Source organism: Homo sapiens, chromosome 21 (assembly GCF_000001405.40).
Source record: "Homo sapiens chromosome 21, GRCh38.p14 Primary Assembly".
In the NCBI taxonomy this organism is placed as follows: domain Eukaryota; kingdom Metazoa; phylum Chordata; class Mammalia; order Primates; family Hominidae; genus Homo; species Homo sapiens.
In genome coordinates this window covers 43,468,171-43,489,891 of record NC_000021.9, presented here as the reverse complement: position 1 = coordinate 43,489,891, position 21,721 = coordinate 43,468,171, and the positions used below count along the sequence as shown (strand labels likewise).

Sequence of the window (21,721 nt, the reverse complement as noted above, 5' to 3'; positions counted from 1 at the left end):
TTGGTGTTGGTGTTTCTCCTTTTTGTTTGCTGTTGGTGTTTCTCCTTCTTTTCGTTTGGTGTTGGTGTTTCTCCTTCTTTTCGTTTGGTGTTGGTGTTTCTCCTTTTCGTTTGCTGTTGGTCTCTGGCTGCTCTGAGCAGCACACAGTGTGCAGCCTCTGCTCCTCCCTGTTGAAGAGGGCAATATAGCTTGGATGTCCCGCTCTGGTCTCATGTGGGGATGTAGTCCCCAGTGCTGGAGGTGGGGCCTGGTGGGAGGAGCTGGATCATAGGGGTGGCTCCTGGCTTGGTGCTGTCCTTGTGATAGTCAGTGAGCTCTCGAGAGAGCTGGGAAACAGTCTGTGGCATCTTCCACCTGCCACCTGCCCTCCCGCTCTTGCTGTGCGACACATGGGCTCCTCCTGTGCCTTCCGACATGATTGAAAGCTTCCTGAGGCCTCACCGGAAGCCAAGCAGATGCCAGTGCCATGCTTCCTGTGTAGCCTACAGAACCTGAGCCAATCAAACCCCTTTTCTTTATAAATTACCCAGTCTCAGTTTGTTTCTTTATAGCAATGCAAGAATGGCCTACCTACCACAGGGGGCAATGGGCCCGTGGGGGAGGGGTGTAAAAGCCAGGACCTGAGGGCTCCTCAGTGTTGTTGTGGATAAAATGGGGGATGGACATTTCCTGGGTCCTTGCCACCCCCTGCGAAGTCATGGGGTCTTCCTGAGTGTACAGGACGCTGCCTGGCCTGGCCTCAGCCCTCCCATTCCACCCGTGCAGGACGATGCCTACAGAAGTGTCCCTGGGTCACAGCCCATCAGAAGGAGGATTGGGCAGTGGTGTGGGCCAAGAGCCTGTCTGCACAGAGATCCTTGGGGGCTCAAGACAGCCCTGCACCCCGGCCAGGAGCTCCGTGTGTCACTCCTTTTGTTGGTTTATTTGTTTAAGATTTTCTTATTTGAGTTGCAGAAATGAGATTGAGAAAGGGGCGTGCTGTGGCTACCCTGCTGCATCCTATGCAAATGTCGTGGAGCCCGGTCACCCAGATAGCTGTGTCCAGGCATTGGCAGCCAGGCCTTCCCGGGAGGACTGCCTGCGGGGGCTCAGCCCACCCAGTTCCCGCCAGCAGGAGCAGGCAGTGCCCGCCGCTGCCCCCACTTGGAGGTTCTGAGGTGTCAGTCACCTTTTTGTTGTTGTTTTTAAAAAACTTTACTGAGGTGGAGTTTGCATGCTACCCAAGTCTCAGGTGTACGATTCAGCAGTTGTCACTGCATCATGCAGCCACCAGCACGATCCACCGTCGGAACATTGCATCCTTCCAGATAGACCCTGTGTGCCCCTTCACGGCTCATCCCGTTCCTGTCCCAGGCCCTGGCAGCCCTGGCATAGCTCCTGTCCCTGTGGATGCGCCTGCTCTGAATATTTCCCAGCAGCAGAGTCACAGGATGTGGCCTCTCACTGAGCAGCATGTCCTGAGGCTTGTCTGTGCTGTGGCGTGAGTCAGAGCCTCCCTCCTTTCCATGGCCGAACAGGTTTCATCGTATGCGTGTCCTGTGCATCTGCCCAGCAGCTGATGGATGCTGGGGTGCCCACGTTGTGGCTATTGGGAATCAAGTGGCTGAACACGTCACGGCACTTGTGTTTCCGCTTCTCTCGCGCAGACGTCTAGGAGTTGATGTCTTTTATGAAAGAGTAAGTTTTTGAGTAAGTTAGATATGCCCAGGGAACAAGTTTCAGAAGGCACAGAAGCAACTAAAGGAAGAGTGAGTAGTAAACGTCCTACTGGTGTCTCCTACTGGTGTCTCTCCAAAGGCGGTCATTGTCGCCAGATTCTTGTGTTTCCCCTGAGGGCCTTTCCATGTCTATCAGCAGAAAAACACACTGCATTTGATGTAAAAGAGATGTGTCTTGGTTTGGGTTCCCCTGAAGGCAGAGCCGAGGCAGGGGCTTGGGTGCAGGTGGATTACCTGGAGGTGACCCAGGAAGCCCGAGGGGACAGGAGGGAGCAGTGGGATGGAGAGGTGGGAAGAAAGGAGTCTGTGCAGCTGAGTTGCTGAGCGGTTCCCACGGAGAGCAGCCATGCTCAGTTCCACCAGGCACCTCCAAGGGCTGTGCCTCTGAAGGACGGGAGGTTGGGTTATTTGTGGGAGGACCTGGACCCCTCCTGGCCGAGGCCGGCCCCAGGGATTGCCGCCTCCACTTTCTGCGGCTTAGGCAGGATCTTTGTGTAGATGTTTGCACAGATGGTAGCTTTGTCTGTTCACGGTTCTGTACTTTTCCATATTCACTTGACCATGTATCTTGGGAACGTACCTCACTTTTTTTTTTTTTTTTTTTTTTTGAGTTGGAGCCTTGCTCTGTCACTCAGGCTGGAGTGCAGTGGTGCCATTTTGGCTCACTGCAACCTCTGCCTTCCTGGTTCAGGCGATTCTCCTGCCTCAGCCTCCTGAGTAGCTGGGACTACAGGCACATGCCACCATGCCTGTCCAGTGTTTGTATTTTTAGTAGAGACAGGATTTCGCCCTGTTGGCCAGGCTTGTCTTGAACTCCTGACCTCAGGTGATCCACCCACCTCAGCCTCCCAAAGTGCTGGGATTACAGGCGTGAGCCACCACCCCCAGCCCCATACCTCACTCTTAAATGGAACATAATATTCCCTTGTATGGATATGCTGTGGTTTATTCACTAGTCTTGCCTAGTGATGGATCTTTAGATTTGTTTTTTTCTGTGAGAAATGCTGCAATAACTTACTTTGAAATGCATCAGAAGTAAGATGGGTGGATGGACCTGGGCTAGGCAAGTGTAGTGCGCTGTGCATGGGAGTGTCTGGGAGTGCATGGGTCTTCACTGCACAACTGGCTAAATAAATTGCCATGTGTTTGAAAGGTTCAGAAAGTAAAACGGTGGGGAGAGTGCTGGTCTCTTAAGTGTTAAAGCCCCAGGACAGTGGTATTGTGGGGTGCGGGGTCCATCAGCTCAGCTTCTTCCCAGACAGGCAAGCGCAGGGAACCTGAGACCCCTGGACCCTTGGCAGGAGGGCACCTGGAAGGGCCCTGGGAAGCCCTGGAGTGCCTCAAAACAGGGAGCCCAGTACAGAGTGTGATTCTGGTGCCCGAGCCTAGGGCTTGGTGAGACGGCCCCTCATGGAAGCCCCAGCCCCCACTCTCTGCCCCGCTCCTGCTGGATGGGAGCGCTTGAAATTCAGGGCTTGTCACTGTATCCGCAATAACAGGAACATGTGGAGACCCCTCACCACGCATGGAGCTCATCCTGCTCACAGCGAGCCTGTGGGTGCAGCCCCCGCAGATCCCATGCATAGGTGGGGACGTGGAAGCCCCAGGAGGCAGGGGGACAGGTCAGTGGGTGGTCCTGCCCAGCCTGCTCTCCTGCCCTCATGTCTGCTGGGTGACTTGGCAGTGTGCAGCATCAGTGCTGGTCCCCCTAGTGGGCCCGGGGCCAGCTGACTCTGCCAGGGAGGGGGTGGGTTTTCAGGCTGAATAGGCTGGGAGCAGGGACAGAGAAGGAGAGATGAGATGGGACTGGGGCTGCGTGGACTGTGCCTGTGTGGGGTTTGTGTCACCTGCTGTGACATGACATTGTGATGTTGGCTGCAGCAGCAGAGGGCAGCTGGGAGGTGCTGTTGTGGCGGCTGCAGCTCCCAGCCTGGGTGTGGCGTGGCCTGAGCAGTCCTGGCACCCTGAGCACCCAGGCCAGTCTCAGCCAGTTGTCCAGAACCTGCAGGAAGTGCTGGCTCCACCAAGAAGGGGAGGGGGGGCCTGGCCACCCCTGATCATGGGGATAGAAGAGGCAGCTGCGGGGGTGGGAACCCGTGCATGGCAGGGGTAGAACCAGCCACCTAGAAACTGAACACCAGACAGGCACCAAGTGATGCAGATTTCCCTGTATGTTGGTGGCACCTGTGCTGCTGGCTGCCTTGGGGCTGAGTTATGATGAACACCACTAGCTCCCAGCAGGACGTGGGACATGCAGGGCTGAGCTGGATGTGTGAACTGGGCTTTCCTCGTGGGATCTGAATCCTTTCCTGTCCCTGCTATGGGAAGGGCTGGGGTGCCTGTGGATCGCTGGGCAAGAGCAGGGGGGCGGCAGGTTTGCGGGTCACAGTAACAGCTGCTGAGGGCTGGACGCTCATGTTCCCCCAAAACTCAGGTGGAAATCCTCACCCCCAAAGCAGTGGCATTAGGAGGTGGGGCCTTTGGGAGGTGATTAGGCCTGAAGGACAGAGCCCTCATGCTGGGATGAGTGCCCTTAGGAAGGAGAGATCCCTTGCTCCTTCCACGTGTGAGGACACAGTGAGAAGACGCTCATGGGCAAGCCGCAGGTGGGCCCTCGCCAGAGCCCGGCCACGCGGGCACCTGGTCTGGGACTTCCAGCCTGCAGGACTGTGAGAAATAGGTTTCTGCTGCTGAGAAGCCGCCCGCCTGTGGGATTTTGCTATAGCAGCCAGAATGGACTAAGACAGTAGGGGAATGGGAGATTCCCGCTGGAGCTGAGAGCCTGACCTGGGAACGTGACAGGCCAGCGAGGCTGTAGACGTGGCCACGCATCACTGCTCGCAGGGCTCCCGAACTTAGAGCACGGTGAACCAGACAGTGATGAAGCAAAGCCACCGCCACGCAACTCCGAGGTTCAGCCAGCAGGCACCGAACATGCCAGCAGCTCGGTGGCACCCGGCATGCTCGGTGGCATGTCCCTTCAGCGGACGGGGCACCAACCCAGCATGTGTGCAGTGAGAGCGTGTGGTGTGAGCACACCCGGCGGGAGCTCTTCTGGTGCTGTTGTGTGGCGGCGGCAGCTGAGCACAACGCAGATGACTTTGCCCCCTGCGCACTTGGTGTCCCCATATCTGTGTCCGGTGGGCAGCTGTGATGGGACATCTGGAGTTGCTGTTGCCTGTCACAGGAGCAAGCATTGGTGGGCAGACCCTAGCCCAGAGGAGGCCCCGGGGGCAAGCTACCAGTCTGGGGGCCAGAAGGTGGGGAGGGTGAAGGGCCAACCCTCTTCTGGTTCCTATCATGCATGGATTTCCAGTGCCCACCTCATTCCTGGCGGACACCGTACTATCAGGGGTTCACTGGGCTTTGGGAATGCCTATATGGCTGATTGCAGGGTGGCCTCGGGCAGCCGGTGATGGGGTCAGGTCGGAAACAGGCGAAAGAGAAGCTGCTTTAGAGACGCTGCCACTAGAAAGAAGGAAAGGCAGAGACTGTCAGTCTGGGGCTGCCAGGAGGGAGTGGTGGCCAGGGTGGGTGACACGCTGCTGTCATGTCCCTGCATAGGTCCACCGATCAGGGAGAAGGAAGGGAGGAGAGCTGTGCTCCTGGGGGCTTTCGCGAGAGCTCCCCTGGCTTGCCTCCTCCCCAGGGCTGGGCAGGGGGAGCTTCTACAGAGGTCATTTTCTCCTGAAACCCAGGGCCCAGAGTGGCATCAGCTTGTGAGGGCAGCAGGAAGGGCCCTGAGGGCTGATGGTGCAGGCCCTGGACAGCCTGGAGAGCTCTCCCACCAGGAGGTTACTAACCTCCGCCAACACCTAGGCGACCTCATTTAATCCTTACAGGAACCCTGAGGGGCAAACTGAGGTACAGAGAGGCTCAGCGACTTGCCTGAGGTCACACAGCTAGCAGAATTTTGTGGAAAGCCAGGACTCCACCGTGCCCTCGACGTCTACTTGCCACTTTGTCTTCAGAATTAGATCAATTTGCTACAACTCTGTTTGCCTAGACCTGGGTGGACCCGAGCCGACTTCACGGAGTGATCTAGTTAGTGAATAAAAAAATGGCCTCCAAAGGCTTCTCGCTGTTTTATGGCGGCCACTTTTCCTGATATGCATTGGTCCAGCTCGACTGAATGTCTTTTCTTCTGAATGTGCCCTTAACCCTGGCTCACGTATTTTGCTGGAATTTTCAGCCCCTGCTCCTGCCTGTGTTGCCAAATGGCTGCGGCCAACTGCCCAGACAAGGTTTAAAGTTTCTGTCTGAAGTCTTGGAAAATGTATCGTTTAGAGAATTGATTTTCAGCAAACTGACCAATCAAGGTCATTTTGTGAACTGACTTTCAGAGAATTGATTTCCCATATCCTGATCCAATGACTAAACTTTTAAAAATGAGTCTGCAAGCCCCAATTCAGAAGCACGGGATTTTGCATGTTAAGAAACAGTTATGGGTACACAACATCCTGAGTGTATTAAATGCCACTAAATTGCACACTTTTAAATTGCTAACTTTACGTTATCCTAATTTCATTGAAATTAAAAAAGAAACAACCAACAAAATTCATACCCAGAACATGAATTCATTCCAGATGGAGTAAAGTTTATGGAGGAATCTAATAAAGACTTAATCTACCAAAGAGATAAGAAAAAGGACCACAGCCATTAAAGTAAATACATTACAAAAACTGAATGGCAGATTCAAGACAAGAACAGATAGTTATGAAAATGGCACATCCTGGAAATGAAAAATACAGTCACCGAGACAAAAGGCTCAGAAGATGGGATAGGATGAAGTACACAGTTGAAAAGAGAATTAGTGAAATAGAAGAGAGAAATACGGAATTTGACCAGAATGCAAAACAGAGAGACAGAGATGACAATTTCTTTCTTTTTTTTTTTTAAACAAAGTCTCGCCCTGTTGCCCAGGCTGGAGTGCAGTGGCACCATTTCCGCTCACTGCAACCTCCACCTCCCAGGTTTAAGCAATTCTTGTGCCTCAGTCTCCTGAGTATCTGGGACTACTACAGGTGCGTGCCACCATGCCCAGCTGATTTTCATATTTTCAGTAGAGATGGGGTTTCGCCATGTTGGTCAGATGGTCTCGAACTCTTGGCCTCAAGTGATCCGCCAACCTTGGCCTCCCAAAGTGCTGGGATTACAGGTGTGAGCCACCATCCCCGGCCTGAGATTTAACACCTGTGCATGCATGTGCACACACAGAGACGTGCACACACGGCAACCGAAAGCCCTGGCAGGGCCGGACGTGGTGGCTCACGCCTGTAATCCCAGGACTTCGGGAGGCTCAAGCAGTTGCCAGTCCTTGGGATTTTCTGCTGTGTGCGTGGGGACACCCCTTGAGAGGCTCCTGGTGATGGGGCAGTGACCCTGCTGGTAGGGCAGTGAGAGGCCGTGGCTATGAAGCCCCCCGGCACGGGGGCTCCTGGTTCTGCCCTTCCAAGGGTGTGGTCTGGATACTGCTGGAACCCATTTCCCGCCTGAGAAATAGGGCAGGGGCGTCCATCTTGCAGAGTCACTGTGGAAGGTGGAGTCACCCCGCTGTGCCCCTGAGGGCATCTGCAGTAACTTCAGAGCCACAGCAGGCACCCTGCCCCTCCTGGCCCTGGCCCCACCCCTTTACCTGCCTTCTCCTAACTGTTCCTCTTCTGGAAGTGCCTGGAGCCCAGGAGAGGCCTGTGCTAGGGGCTCCTCCCTGTCTGGGCTGCCATCTGCGCACTCGCTGGCCCCCCTTCAGTGCAGACAACACACTGTGTCCGGCAGCAGGGCCTTGTCCTCATCCTCGCCTGTCTGCCAGTGGCTTTGCTGTCCCTGGTCTGGGCCTGACTCTGACACGCAGCCCATTCTTGCCTTTTGTGAGGGGCAGCTCCGGCCCCTGCGTCTTTGTAAGATGAAGACTCCAGAAATAAATAAATTTACTTATTTATTTATTTATTTTGAGACAGAGTCTCTCTCTGTCACCCAGGCTGGAGTGCAATGGTGCAGTCTTGGCTCACTACAGCCTCCACCTCCTGGATTCAAGCGATTCTCCTGCCTTAGCCTCCTAAGTAGCTGGGATTACAGGCACCCACCACCACGCCCGGCTAATTTTTATATTTTTAGTAGAGATGGGGTTTCACCATGTTGGTCAGGCTGGTCTCGAACTCCTGACCTTGGATCCACCTGCCTTGGCCTCCCAAAGTGCTGGGATTACAGACGTGAGCCACCGTGCCTGGCCAGACTCCAGAAATTAGGCCTGCAGGAGATTCTGGGCTGTGTTGAGGCCTGGGCTGCTGGGCCTGAGCTAGGAACCACGCCACCACCCAGTGGCCTCGCTCTGGCCCCGGCAGGGACCCACGAGCAGGCCCTGCTGCCCCCACCATGCTCCCCTGGAAGTCAGACCCACCTCCCCTACCCAGCAAGGGCTGTGGCCAGGCATGAAGCCTGGCTCCCCTGGTCCCCGTGGAGACCACGGGGACCTGGGTGGACTCCTGGGCCTCAGGGGTCCCCATCCAAACAGTGGGAGGGTTGGGCTGGAGCTCACCCAGAATGTTTGGCAGTGCCTGCAGCGGGGGAGGGTCTTTATGTCATCGCTCCTGAGGGTCCTTTGGAGCCTGTTCCTGCTGGTGCGTCGGCAGCTCGGAGCCACACGCCTCTCCCGAGGGTACCCTGGCTGCCCATCTGCCCATGTCCCTCCCTCCCTCGGTCACCCTAACAGTTGCACCCGCAGCACAAGGTCCCCTGAAAACGCACAGCGAGGCCGGAGCTGCTGCAGGCAGGGCACGGCCCTGCGGGTGTTTCATCTCGTTGTGAGAGCTTTCCAGTTGGCACAGGTAGTGTCTGCTTTCACCCATCCTTCCAGAAACAAGGGGCCTTAGGCCACGGGAAGAGCGCGTCCTGCACTTCCATGCCTGTGTGGGAGTGGCCTGTCCACTGGAGACAGCCTGTGCCCCGCTAGCAAGACCACGCTCATTTTGTGAGAGCTCCCGCCATCCTGTGGCTCTTGGGCCTGGAACTCGCATTCCTGCTCCATTCTGAGGGCCAAGTGATGTGGCTAGATGCAGAGAGATGGGGGCCTGCGGCGGCCGACACCCAAAGCATCCTTGATGGCTTTTTTTTTTTTGAGACAGGCATGGCAAGGTCTCACTCCCGCCCCCTGGATCTGCCTGTGAACACAGGGTGCCCCTGGGGGTGTCCAGAGTGAGAACAAATTCCGTTTGGGATAGAGTCTTACTCTGTTGCCCAGGCTGACCTTCAGTGGTGCGATCATGGCTCACTGCAACCTTGAACTCCAGGGTTCAAGTGATCCTCCCACCTCAGCCTCCTGAGGAGCTGGGACCACAGCGACACACCACCACGCCTGCCTAATTTTTTTTTTTTTTTCAGAGACGGGAACTTGCTGTGTTGCCCAGGCTGGACTCAAACTCCTGGCCTTAAGTGATCCCACTCAGCCTTCCAAAGCTGGGTAGCTTTTGATTGCAGATTCTAGCTAGGTTGCAGGACGTGAGGAAGTGGGGGTGCAGAAATCACAGCAACACCCTCCCCCAAGGGTGCTTTCCGTGGCCGTGTACACAGCCCGCCTGGCCGGCTCTGAGAGCAGGGACCCTTCTCTGGATGCTCCAGGCCATCGCTGTGCAGGAACCCGGTGTGTCGTAAGTGAAGGACAGTCGTCTTTACCTTGGGGGAGACAGTTGTGGGTGCCTCCCTGCAGGCTGTGGCATCTGTAATTCCCCAAATGTAGGTGCTACGTTGAACAGCCCCTTAGACTTCACCGCAGCACCGTGTGGCCACCGTGCACAGCCTTCCCAGGCCAGCTGCAGAATTCCATGGAAAAGGTTTTGTGAATGATTACAACTCAACGGTCTAGGCCCTCAACCTTCTCTTTTTAGAACAGTGCCCCCCATTGTGGAAATCCTCGGTTCAGCCACTGGGAACTCCCCAGTTTTGAGGGCAGGTGTTGGCAGTTTCATTTGGTCCAACACCAATTCCACGTTCCTGTGCCCCCTTCAACAGTCTGCGCAGCCTCCCAGTGGCGCAGCCTCCCCGTGACTCAGCCTCCTGGTGACACGGCCTTGCTAGCCGCCATCCTGTACCGGGCCCAGGTGACACCGTGGGACGTCTGTTATTTAGGTGCCCCTGGCCCCTGCCACGGGGTTTCCCACTTTGGGGGCCTTGCATCTGTGTGGCTTCTTCCTTGCTCTCAGTGGTCACCTGGTTGTCGGTGGCCCGCGTCCATCAGCCCATCATCATTCCGACTTGCTGTTTTGATCGTCGGCCGGAAAGCCAGACAGCTGGCCTTGCTGGACCATGTCTGCAATGGGAATTTTGAGGCCGAGAGGGAGGGCTTCAGGGGCCCCTGGGAGTGCAACACGTAAATGGGGGCTTGCACACGGGGTCGGGTGGGGGGCTCTTGCTCCGATGTTCCGGGATCTTTTTTGCCCCTTGTAGACCCACAGGTGTGTGTGCAGGAGCCCTGAGGAGGCCAGAGGAGGCCAGAGAAGGGTGAGCAGAGGTCCGAGGGCACTGCGGTGAGGCCAGGCTGCAGATGGAGCTGGGGCTCGAGCTCAGGAGCTGGTCTTCCCTGCTGGGGCCGCGACGCCTGCCGCTTTCCTGCCGGCTCTCTGGGTCAAGGCCTGGAAAGGCTTTCTTCTCGGGCTTCTCATCAGCTTATTGGCCCATTTAGGTAATGGCACTTCCTGTCCATTAACCTCAGCCACACTGAGATCAGCTCTCCACACTCACTTGGCAGGAGGCTTGCAGGAGCTTTCCTATTTGGAGAGTAAAAAGAGCATGGCCTCTGCAGCAGCCAGGAAGTGGAAAGCCCTGGCTTCCTGGTTCCAGAGAACAAACAGGGGATGCGGCTCCCAGATGCAGCCAAAAGTGCTCTGGGGACGGGGACAGTCGGCCGGGTCCTGTCGCAAGCGGCTGCCCTGTTGCACTGATGTCCTGGCCCCTGAGAACACATCAGTAGGGCCTGGCCGGACCCTGGGCCGATGCCACTCTTAGGGGTGAGATGGGGAGCCTGGCCCAGGCTGAGACCCCCACCCTCCACCCAAAACGTGTCCGGGCCTCCAGGCCGTGCAGAGCACACTGGAGGCTCAAGACGGCACCTCTTCTGTGGGACTGGGCCACAGCCTGTCTGATGCCTCACTTCTCTGACTCTTGGAGGCATGGTGCTGGCCTGTCTGTGAGCCCCAGACCCCCTCGTAGAGCTCGCTCCAGGGCCAGGCCCAGCCCCCTTACCGCCTCTCAGCCAGGCTCAGCTAGTGGCCGGCTCTGCCATGGGGAAGGCCCGGTGTCTCTCTCTCTCTGCCTCTCCCAGGCTGCTGCAGCATGGCCCCAAGCCTGGGCGCCAGTAACAGCCTCGTCCCTCCAGCCTGTACAATGGCTCAGCGCTACCTGGGGACTCCCTCCAGCCAGGCCAGACATGCTGGGCAGTCAGGGTCCCTGGGAGCCCCTTGACAGCGACTGACGGCAGGTGGGGGATAAGTAGCCAAGTGTCTCCTGCCGGCGGGGGCAACTCTGCAGGTGTCTCTGCAGCCTCCCCAGTACCCCATGGGTGCCTGCCCCCTGAGTCCCCCAGGGGGCACCTGCCCCTTTGTCCTGACCCCTGCTCCTTCCCTCTCTTCTCCTGGGGTGGCCAGGGGTCACATGCCATGTAACCCTGAATCCTGTCCCAGCCTCTGCCCCTGAGGAACCCGCCCAGCAAGCCATCCACCCTCACTAAAGTCCAGGCCGTCTTCCATGGTCCCCTCACCACCTTGTTCTTTCTGGCCCCAGAGGCCATCACCATCCAGGGCACAAGGGGGCCTGCCCCTTGGCCAGGTGGCTGCCTGTCCTCTGACCCTGGGTTGTCGACAGGGGGAGGGGAGAGCTGGAAACCGGGGTCAGGAGGATGCCAGCAGGTCCGTCACTCCCTGCCTGGATCCGGCCAAGTGCGGGGGACCTTGGCCAGCATCCTAGAGAGCTGGCGCACCTCCTGGGCCTGACGCGGGCTTCCTGGATTGCATAAAGGCTCCTTCTCCTTACATAGCCAGGGCAAAGGTGCATGACAACTCTGAGCAAGTCAAAACAACCGTCAGCAGCGGGAAACCTCGATGAACAAACACCGGGAGAGTGGTGAGTAGCTGCCAGGAAAGCCCCAGCCTCCGGCAGGAAAGGGACTCTGGGCGGGGCGGCCCCAGAGAGAAAGTGGTTAGATGTACGGACAGAGGGATGACAGGGCTGGCCAGGCAGTGCTGCCTGCAGGCTGTGCAGTTGGCCTGGGGGTCTGGAGCCTCCGGGACCCACAGATGCGCCCGCACCCTCATCCCTGGCTTCTTTCGGCCCCACAGCGGGGCAGCAGCACTGCTGTCCTAGCCACGCCAGGCGCCAGTGTGGCCTGGTAAAGGCCTCGTGCATTCTGTCCTGCTGGTGGGGGAGGCTGGCCTCTCATGCGCTTGTCCTTAGAGGGCAGCATGAAGATGCCGCGCCCCACCGGGGAGACGAGGGGAGTGGACCCCTCATGAGATCCAGGCCGCATGAGGCAGGGGCTGCCATGACAGGATACTGCATGCGGGGGGCCTCATGCAGCAGAAGTGGACTCTCTGAGTCCTGGGGCCAGACTTCAAAATCAAGGTGTCGGCAGGGCCACCTCCTGCTGAAGGCTCCAGGAGAAAACCCTTCCTGCCGCTCCTAGCTTCCGGTGGCCCAGGCAGTCCTTGGCTTGTGTCCGCATCGCTCCAGTTCTCTGCCTCCGTCTCACGTGACTGTGTCTCTGCACCTTTCCCCCTTCTCAGAACGTGTCCTTGGATCTCAAGTCCACCCTCATCCAGGAGGCTTTCATCTCAAAATCCTTAACTTAATCCCATCTATCTGCAAAGACCCCTTTTCTAAATCAGGTCCCATTCTCCAGTTCCTCGGGTTAGGACCTGGACAAATCTTTTGGGGGTGTCGTTCATCATCCAACTGCACTTGGCATGGGAAGGCCCCCCTCCTGCCCCCTGGATCTGCCTGTGAGCACAGGGGTCCCCTGGGGGTGTCCAGAGTGAGAACAAATTCCGTCTGGGACAGAGCTGGCAGAGGCCCCGGACGCTGGCCTCCCGAGCGGGGTTGTGATGTTGGACCCTGTTCTCAACACCAGGCCCACGCCACCAATTCGTGCTTCTGTCTGGGCCAGGCTTCCCCGTCCCCCTGTCCCAGTCTCAGGAGGGTGTCTGCAGGTTTGTCTCCCTGGGGGACGGAGCCACGTTTGGGTTCCACTTCATTCTCCAACTGCTCTGGTGCTGGACAGAAGCTGAGCCTGCCCGCCTCCATATGTGGGGTTGGAGAGCCTGGGGTACCCTGGCCTCAGAGGCAGTGATGATGGGGGAGGGAGAGAGATGGGAGAGGGGCCTGGGATGCCATTGGAATCTCTCAGGGCTTCATCTGAGCTGTCTCTGCCCCCTTCTAGCATTCCCAGGGGAGTTCCAGGAGGCCCATGGCCCCTCCTGTACAGCCCTCCACCGCCCAGAGCCTTCCAGCGCCGTGTCTTCCCCTTGGAGCATCTGGAGGCCCCAGACAGCACCCGCCTGACGTTCAGCAGAGGGGGAGACCGAGGCCTGCAGCAGAGTGTTTTGTCAGATGCTGCTCCCTGACCGGGAGTGAGAGGGAACCCACCTAGAGGTGCCAGATGGGGTGCCAGGGCAGCGTGGCCTGCAGGCCCCTCAGCTCCTCACAGCCCCTGCCCCCAGCCTTCCTGGGCCCAGAGATCCCCTTGTTTACCCTAGTCCAGGGACAGAGGCTCAGATGTCATGCTTGACCCCACAGGTACAGGGTTAGGGGTGAAGGTGGCTGTCTCTTCATGTCTTCACCATGGCTTCTCTGCCTTCCTCCTGCTCCTGGTGGCTTATGTCCTGCCGCTCTTGATACGCGACTGTGGTCTGTCCTGGGATGGTTATGATGCATATGTGCTATTGTTGTGAACTGTAACATTGAGGTCTGGCCTTACGGTTGGTTTTGATTGTCCCTTCTGCTCCCTTTTCTTATTTTAATATTTTACCATTTTCCATTTTAATGTATCTGTTGTCTTTTTTGGCTAAATCTCTTTTCAGTTTTATTTTACTGTATATCTTTTCTAAGTGATTGCTTAGAGATTACAATATACTAAACCTAGCCTTTCACAGTTTCTGCAGATCCTGCTTTGTGACTTCGAGTGAAGTGTGGAAGCGCTGGAAGCACTTAGACCCTGCCTGTGAGTTGTCATGTATCATGTCTGCAAACATTAAAAATCTCACCAGATGATGGGGTGTGTGTGTGTGTGTGTGTGTGTGTCTGTGTGTGTGTGTGTATGTGTCTGTGTGTGTATTTTTTTTTAGACAGAGTCTTGCTCTGTCACCCAGGCTGGAGTGCAATGGCACACTCTCGGCTCACTGCAACCTCTGCCTCCCGGGTTCAAGCGATTCTCCTGCCTCAGCCTCCTGAGTAGCTGGGATTACAGGCACGCGTCACGACGCCCAGCTAATTTTTGTAATTTTAGTAGAGAGGGGGTCTCACCATGTTGGCCAGGCTGGTCTCGAACTCCTGAGCTCAAGTGATCTGCCCGCCTCAGCCTCCCAAAGTGCTGGGATTACAGGCATGAGCCACCACACCTGGCCAAGATGATGGTATATTTTTTGCTTTCAATAGTCATACATATTTTAAAGGACTTAAAAGAAAAAATAGTTTAAAAACTATTTACCCAGGTATCCGCTATTTCTGTTTCTCTTTCTTCATTCTAGAAGTGCTGTGTTTCCCCCTGGGGTCTTTTCCCTTGCTGGTGACAATTCTCTTCTAGTTCCTTTACTTGAGAATGTCTTTATTTTGCTTCTATTCCTGAAGGCTGTCTCCACTGGATGTAGGATTCTGTGGTGACTTCTTCTCCTTTCATTCTTCGTGCAGCACACCAGCATGGCGCATGTGTACATACGTAGCAAACCTGCATGTTCTGCACAAGTACCCTAGAACTTAAAGTATAATTTAAAAAAAAAAAGAAAAAAAAAGGTATTGTTCCATCGTCTTCTGGCCTCCCTGTTTTGTTTAAGCAGTTTTTTTTGTTTGTTTGTTTTAAAAATTTCTATGCTAGTGGGGTGCAGTGGCTTATGCCTGTAATCCCAGAACTTTGGGAGGCTGAGGCGGGTGGATCACTTGAGGTCAGGAGTTTGAGACCAGCCTGGCCGACATGGTGAGAACCCATCTCTACTAAAAATACAACAATTAGCCAGGTGTGGTGGCTCACACCTATAATCCCAGCTATTCCGAAGGCTGAGCCAGGAGAATCGCTTGAACCTGGGATGCAGAGGTTGCGGTGAGCTGAGATGACGCCACTACACTCCAGCCTAGGCGACAGAGCAAGACCCTATCTCAAAAAACAAAACAAAATAAAAGTTCTCTGCTTATTTTGCACCTAATTTCTGTTTAGTTAGTAGAGTTTTAAGAAGTAGATTTAGGTTTGCAGAAAAACTGAGCAGGAAGTACAGAGAATTCCCGCACCCGCCTCCCCCACACTGTCCACAGCTTCCTTCCCTGTTATGAGCACAGCCATGCCATGGGACATGGGTCACAGCTGATGAGCCAGTATCCATACATTGTTACTACCTACGTCCATCTTTTACAACAGGGATCACTCTGTGTGTTGTACATTCTGGGCTTGGGGCAAATATATAATGACATGTATAATGACATCATTATAACATCATACGGAATAGTTTCACTGCCCTAAAAATCCTCCACACTCTGCCAATTCATCCCTCCCTCCTCCCAACCCCTGGCAGCCACTGACCTTTTTCCCGTCTCCATGGTTTTGCCTGTTCCCGAGAGTTGTATAGCTGGAGTTGTATAGTTGTGTGGCCTTTCCCAGGCTGGCTGTTTTCACTTAGCTGCATGCGTTCAAGCCTCCACAGTGTATTTGCTGGCCTCTGTGGTTTTGATGAGAAATCCTGGGTCATTTGAATTCCTGCTCCCTCTGTGTGTGTAAGCTATCATTTTTCTCTGGCTACATTCAAGATTTTTCTCTTTGTTTTTATGTTTTAGCAGTTTTTAATGTGTGTAGGCATGGTTTTATTTGAGTCTAGTCTGTTTGGGATTTGCTGAGCTCATTAAAACTGTAAATTGATATGTTCCCCCAAATTTGGGAAGTTTTCTGCTTTTATTTCTTCAAATATTTTTCTGCACCATTTTCTTCTCTCCTCTGGGCCTCTAAGGACGTGAATGTTAGACCTTTTGATATCATTCCACAGGTCCCTGGACTCTGCTCATTTTTTTCAGTCTTCTTTTTCTTTTCTTTTTTTTTTTTTTGAGATGGAGTCTTGCTTTGCCACCTAGGCTGGAGTGCAATGGCGTGATCTCAGCTCACTGCAACCTTCGCCTCCCAGGTTCAAGTGATTCTCCCACCTCAGCCTCCCGAGTAGCTGGGATTAAGGCACCCGCCATCATGCCCAGCTAATTTTTGTATTTTTAGTAGAGACAGGGTTTCACCATGTTGGCCAGGCTGGTCTCGAACTCATGACCTCCGGTGATCCACCCACCTCGGCCTCCCAAAGTGCTGGGATTACAGGCATGAGCCACCGTGCCCGGCCTTCAGTCTTACTTTTCTTTCTATTGTCTAGATTGGAAATTTTCTACTGATCCATGTATAAGTTCACAGATTCTTTCCTCTGTCACTGACATTCTGCTATTAGGTCTGTCCATTAAAAAAAAACAATTTCTCAGGTATCATATCTTTGAGTTCTGAAATTTCTATTTAGTTCTTTTTTGTAGTTTCCATTTACCTACTGAGAATTTCTGTCCTTCCATCTGCTTCACTCGTGGTTTCTTTTACCATGTGGAGCACAGTTGTGACAGGTGCTGTCCAGTCTTGACCTAATTCCAGCACCTAGAGCATCTGTTGACTCTCTCTCTCTTGAGAATTTTGTGGCTCTTTGTATGTCAAGTAATTTTTTTTTTTTTCCGAGACGGAGTCTTGCTCTGTCGCCCAGGCTGGAGGGCAGTGGCAGGATCTCAGCTCACTGCAACCTCCGCCTCCCAGGTTCAAGCGATTCTCCTGCCTCAACCTCCCGAGTAGCTGGGATTACAGGCACTCGCCACCACACCTGGCTAATTTTTGTATTTTTAGTAGAGACAGGGTTTCACCATGTTGGCCAGGCTGGTCTTGAACTCCTGACCTCATCATCTGCCTGCCTTGGCCTCCCAAAGTGCTGGGATTACAGGCGTGAGCCACCACGCTCGGCCCGTCAAGTAATTTTGAATTGTATTGTGGACATCTTGAATACTATGTAGTGTAGATTCTTGTTAAAATCTGCTGGAAAATGTTGATTTCTGTTCATTGTTTTGGCGGCAGTCAATTCAGTCAGAGCCAGATCTCAAGTTTTGTCTTCTCTCCTGGGGGCTGTGGTCTCCATCTCATTGTGCTCTCAAGGCTTTTCCTGGGTGGCTGTGGGTGCGTCCCGAAGCCAGTGTTGTCTCTGTAGGGTGCTCTCTGCCCCTCCCCAAGTACCATGAAGTGAGAGAGCAGCGAGCGGGCCAGGCGCCACTCCTGGAGGACAGCCACGATGCTCACCTGGACCTGGGCCCCACACACCTCTCATGGTACAAAGCTGGGGGCCTGCAGGCTTTCTGCTGCCCGCCTCTCCCTGGGGGTTCCAGCCCATACCCCAGGATGGTTGTAGGGTATGGCCGAGTCCATCATTTGCTCCTGGTATTGGGGGGAAGTGCCATGGTGGCCTCTGGCAGCCATCCTTGTGGCCTGCCTGCCCTTGCCACCCTTGATGTGTATATGTTTCAATATAGTTGCATAGTGGTTAAATATTCACTTAGCCACCTTCTGCTCCTGCCTTGACTTCCCACACAGGAAGATGGCCTGTACCCCAGGAAGATGGCCTGTACTAGTCAGGGTTCTCCAGCGAAGCAGAGCCTATAGGAGATGCAGACACAGAGATGGATATAGATACCTAAGAGAAGAGGCATTATTACAGGAATTGGCGCATGCAGTTACAGAGGCTGAGAAATTCCATGAGCTGCCATCTGCAAGTGGGAGAACCAAGAAAGCCTGGGGTGTAATTCCATCCATGGCGCAGGCCTGAGAGCTGAGGCCAGTACCTGAGCTCAGCAGGAGATGGTGTCTCAGCTCTGAGAGCCAGCTCTCCCTTCCTCTGCCTGGGGTGTAATTCCATCCACGGCAGCAGGCCTGAGAGCTGAGCGCTGCTGTCTGATCCCAGGAGGAGATGAAGTCTCAGCTCTCAGAGCCAGCTCTCCCTTCCTCTGCCTTTTTTGTTCTAGTCAGGCCCTCACTGGGTTAAATGATTCCACCCACACCGGGAGGGGCGTCTGGCTTCCTGAGGCCAGTTCAAACGCTGATCTCACCCGGAAGCACCCTCACAGATCCCCCAGAAGTAATATCTCCCCAGCTGTCATGCATCCCAGCCCCAGCCAGGAGGAGACAGAGCTAACCATCACAGTGGACCATGACGAAGTGGCTCTGCTGCTGCTTCACAGGTGCCGCAGACCCCTGGGAGGCACCAACACCCCGGATCGAGAAGCCCGATGGGAAAGAATGTCTGGGAAGGACGTCATGCCCGAGGCTTGCGTGACAGTTTCCACTCACAGTGCGCTCACTCTGAACCTCTGTGCACACGATGGGCCTGCATCTCTTCCCACTATCTGCTAGGAAACACGAGGGTGAGTGATGAGTTTTTAGGGTGGAGCTGGTCGGCAGTGGGGCCCCGACTCCCAGTCCAGGGCTGCTTCTGTTGCACCAGTGTCCCCCAGTGACCCCTGCACTTGTTTGGGTGCTGGACCCCTTTGAGAATCTGATGCACGACAGGGACCATTTCCCCTGGAAAACACACGTCCCCACCCTTCTTGTATGCAGAATCATGGGATTTGCCGCAGTTTGCACCCAGGCCTGTGCGGATGCCCCCCGACTGCCCGAGATGCTGCACCTGCCACTGCTGGGGGTGTACCTGCCTATGCCCACTCACAGGGGCACCTCCAGGGTAGCTGCCTGGTGCAGGCATTGGCTCTAAGCAGAGCAGCACTATGGGCCCATCTGGGGCTGGCTCTTGCCTGGGCCTGTGAGCACCATCACAGCCAGCCGATCTGGGAGTATCCAGGGTGTTCTTGTCATTGCGGACACTGAATAGCCATTGGTGGGTGGCGATGGGGGCTTGGAAGCCGAGCATCAGTGGCAATGAGAAGCAGGCCCTGTGGTTTAATTCCGAAGCACATGAACCCACAGAGCCGCCAACAGTCGTTATTCGGCAGGAGGGGGTACAGAGACAGCAGCCTGCGGAGCGTTCTAGGCAGGACAGGGCAGCAAACCTGACATGCGGAGCTGGGGGCAGGGGTAATGGGGCCAGGGGGTAATGGCAGGTGAGGCCATGGCCTAGAGGGTTGCCATGCTTGGTGCAGGGGAGGAGAGGCCCAGGTGTGGCTGCAGTGGCAGCAGGAGTCAGTGTGGCTGTGCCCAGTGGGATGTTGTCAGAGAATGGACCTGGCTGCTGGGAAAGGTGATTGTGTTTGTCTGAGCCACACTGGACTCTTCTCTGACCAGCAAGCACATTCTGGAGATGCGGGGCAGAGACGAGGCCTCCGTGAGAACCTTTGAGGTGTGAGGGCCTTGATCTGGGGTGCAGCCTCCAGCTTTCTGCTTACAGAGCAGGACCTGCAGGAGCTCGCTGACTGCCTGCACAGTGGAAGGAAGACCTGTTTCTTTTACTTTCCTTGAGGAGAAAAAATTAAAGTTCTGAGCAAACGCATGGCAAGGGAGCTCTTGCTTTCCTCTCTTGGAGTTCTAGGCGGCTGGCGCTAGTGGCACGTGGAACTGGTCACGCACACTGGGTCTCGAGGCCGTCTCCTCTTCTGTAAGTTGAAAGGTTGGTGAGAACAGAGGTGTGGTGTGCTCTGACAGTGGCTGGTTGCCTTGTTAGTGCCTGTGCTGCCGGCCTGCCACGCCTCCAGCTCTTTTAGAGGAATGGCCTACCTTTCAAAGAGGAAGTGCCACAGACCAGTCTAGTTCCCTGGAGCCACATTCCCACATGGCGAAGGTGGGAAGCCACTGCGTTATGACTCTGTGCGTTCACCACCATCTCCACCCCGCGTCATCCCTCGTGGCGTACGTCCCTGCCTGGCCTCCCCAGGCACTGGAGCTGGCACTTCTTGTCTAGGTATCTCAGGCCTGGCGAAGCTCCTCGGCTCCGGCCTGAGCGACGACCTGCAAGCACAGACTGGGCGCTGAGCCCCTGCCTGAGCTGAGTCAGGGCCGGAGAGCCGGCCGAGTGGCATGCTCCCGAGAGCACAGCTGGCTGTGCAGTCAGGGCCTTGGTGGACACGCTGTCCACCTGGCATGGACATGGGGACATGAGGGGCAATGCGGGCACATGCAAGAGCATTCCCAGAACAAATGCATGGTCGTCCCCCAACCCCCTCCCTCGGAGTCCAGCTGCTGCCAAATGTCCCTTAAAACCCTGGGTGGGATGCCAGCAAGAGCCCCGGGAAGCTTGATGATGAGACTCCCAGCCTCGCCTCCCGGCAGTCTCCCCCGCCGTGGCAGGCCTGGGCTGGCCCTGGCATCTGTCCAGGCCCCTCGGTGACTCTAACCTTGGCCAGGTTTGGGGACCACAGGGGACTCTGGGGCCCTCTTTGCTTGGTGACTTGGAGTTCTGGCCTGGCACCCCCAAGACAGCAAAGGGCCTGGCCCTTCCGGTGTCATTGCTCTCCTGGGTCCCAAGCTTGCGTGTCCCCGCGGGCCAGGGCAGGGCTGCATGCCACAGAAGTCACCGTTTCATAGAAGGGAAGACTAGGAAGTCAGCTGCACCCAGGTCAAGTGGGTCTGTGCGAGTGGACGTCCCTCCTCTTGCTGTCTGCGTGGGTCACATTGACCAGAGTTTGTTAAGCCCGGGCCAGAGGAGGCTCACTCCCTAGGCTGGGAATGAGTTTGGTGTGGCTTCACACACACCGCACTCACACACACACCCTCTACTCCACACGGTGATAAGTGAGTGGCTGGAGCAAGCCGCAAGGAGCTTTTGAGCGCACACCAGAGCTGCTTCTGCTACCTCCAGGCCTCTGATGGCTGCGGCTGCAGACACAGCCAGCCTCGCAGCATGTAAGAGTGGGCAAGGATGACACACGGGCACAGAGAGACCAGGCTGGGCTTCAGGAAGCAGGTCTGCGTGGGATGGAAGTGCTTAGAAAGTCATTTCTGGAAGGCCGACACCAGTCGGCACTCCCTGAGCGAAAGGACTTGGGAACACGTGGATGCACTTCTTGTATCTCCAAGGAAATGCTCCCTGAGGATTTGCGACGTGGAAATGCAACGGGCTGTGGAGTGCTGCGCACCCCGCACCTCGAGCAGTGGTTTAGCTCAGCTCGGGGTTTGTGGCTTCAGGGGGTCATAGTCCACAGGAGTGCCAGGGGGTTGGGCGGGTGGGACAGAGGAGGCGAGAAGTGGTTGCGGACACTCTGCATGAGCAGGACACGCACACACCACACACACACATACCCCACACACATATACACACCACACACCCCATATACACACAAGTACACACACGAACATACCACACACCCCATATACACACAAGTACACACATGAACACACCACACACACACACAATACGGCTCTGCAAGGAAACGTGTGAGGGGTGTGGTGTGTGTGCACTGTGTGTGAGGTGTGTGGTGTGTGTGAAATGTATGTGTGAGGTATACAGTATGTGTGTGAGGTAGTGTGCGATGTGTGTGTAGTGTATGTGGTTGTGTGAGGTATGTGGGGTGTGAGGAATGTATTGTGTATGTGTGATATATACTGATTGTGTGTAAGGGATGTGGAGTGTGTGGCATGTGTGTAAGGTAGGTGTGTGTTGTGTATATGTGAGCTGTATAGTGTCGGGGGGGTGTGAGGTATGTGGTGTATGTTATGTTTGAGATCTAGTGTGTGTGTATGGTGTGTGTGGGAGGTATGTGGGGTGTGTGGTGTGTGGTGTGTATGAGGTATGTAGTGTGAGGTGTGTGATGTGTAG

The 21,721-nt window shown here is 55.4% G+C and overlaps 1 protein-coding gene and 1 long non-coding RNA gene across 6 annotated transcripts in view, besides 3 other annotated features; both read left to right on the top strand.

Annotated features, from left to right (window-relative positions):
• HSF2BP (heat shock transcription factor 2 binding protein) overlaps positions 1-21,721 on the top strand; it is a 214,517-nt gene that overhangs the window by 169,597 nt on the left and 23,199 nt on the right. Inside the window, exon 10 of one of the 5 annotated variants that reach the window (XM_017028268.2) lies at positions 11,743-13,747. The exons of the other annotated variants lie outside the window; for them this stretch is intronic. Within the exon in view, the coding sequence (XP_016883757.1) occupies positions 11,743-11,761 (19 nt within the window). The 3' untranslated portion in view covers positions 11,762-13,747. Of the gene's footprint in view, positions 1-11,742; positions 13,748-21,721 lie in introns of those variants that run through there. 5 annotated transcript variants of the gene reach the window in all.
• Positions 919-1,056: a silencer, noted in NCBI's record as "fragment chr21:44908716-44908853 (GRCh37/hg19 assembly coordinates)". NCBI's record gives its function as "represses an EF-1alpha promoter that drives an FKBP-Casp9 reporter gene in an ReSE screen in HepG2 liver carcinoma cells {active_cell/tissue: HepG2}" and the evidence as "EXISTENCE:reporter gene assay evidence [ECO:0000049][PMID:32094911]".
• Positions 3,650-4,480: an enhancer, noted in NCBI's record as "H3K4me1 hESC enhancer chr21:44905292-44906122 (GRCh37/hg19 assembly coordinates)". NCBI's record gives its function as "activates a minimal SCP1, AML or CMV promoter by ChIP-STARR-seq in primed H9 embryonic stem cells {active_cell/tissue: H9 hESC(primed)}" and the evidence as "EXISTENCE:reporter gene assay evidence [ECO:0000049][PMID:30033119]".
• Positions 10,209-10,503: an enhancer, noted in NCBI's record as "tiled region #2841; HepG2 Activating DNase matched - State 6:EnhF". NCBI's record gives its function as "activates a minimal TATA promoter and a strong SV40 promoter by Sharpr-MPRA in HepG2 cells {active_cell/tissue: HepG2}" and the evidence as "EXISTENCE:reporter gene assay evidence [ECO:0000049][PMID:27701403]".
• Positions 11,669-21,721, top strand: part of LINC00313 (long intergenic non-protein coding RNA 313) — a 16,130-nt gene continuing 6,077 nt past the window's right edge. The window contains exons 1-3 of the long non-coding RNA NR_026863.1: positions 11,669-11,828; positions 13,853-13,920; positions 18,198-18,380. This is a non-coding gene — a long non-coding RNA (long intergenic non-protein coding RNA 313). The remainder of the gene's footprint in view (positions 11,829-13,852; positions 13,921-18,197; positions 18,381-21,721) is intronic.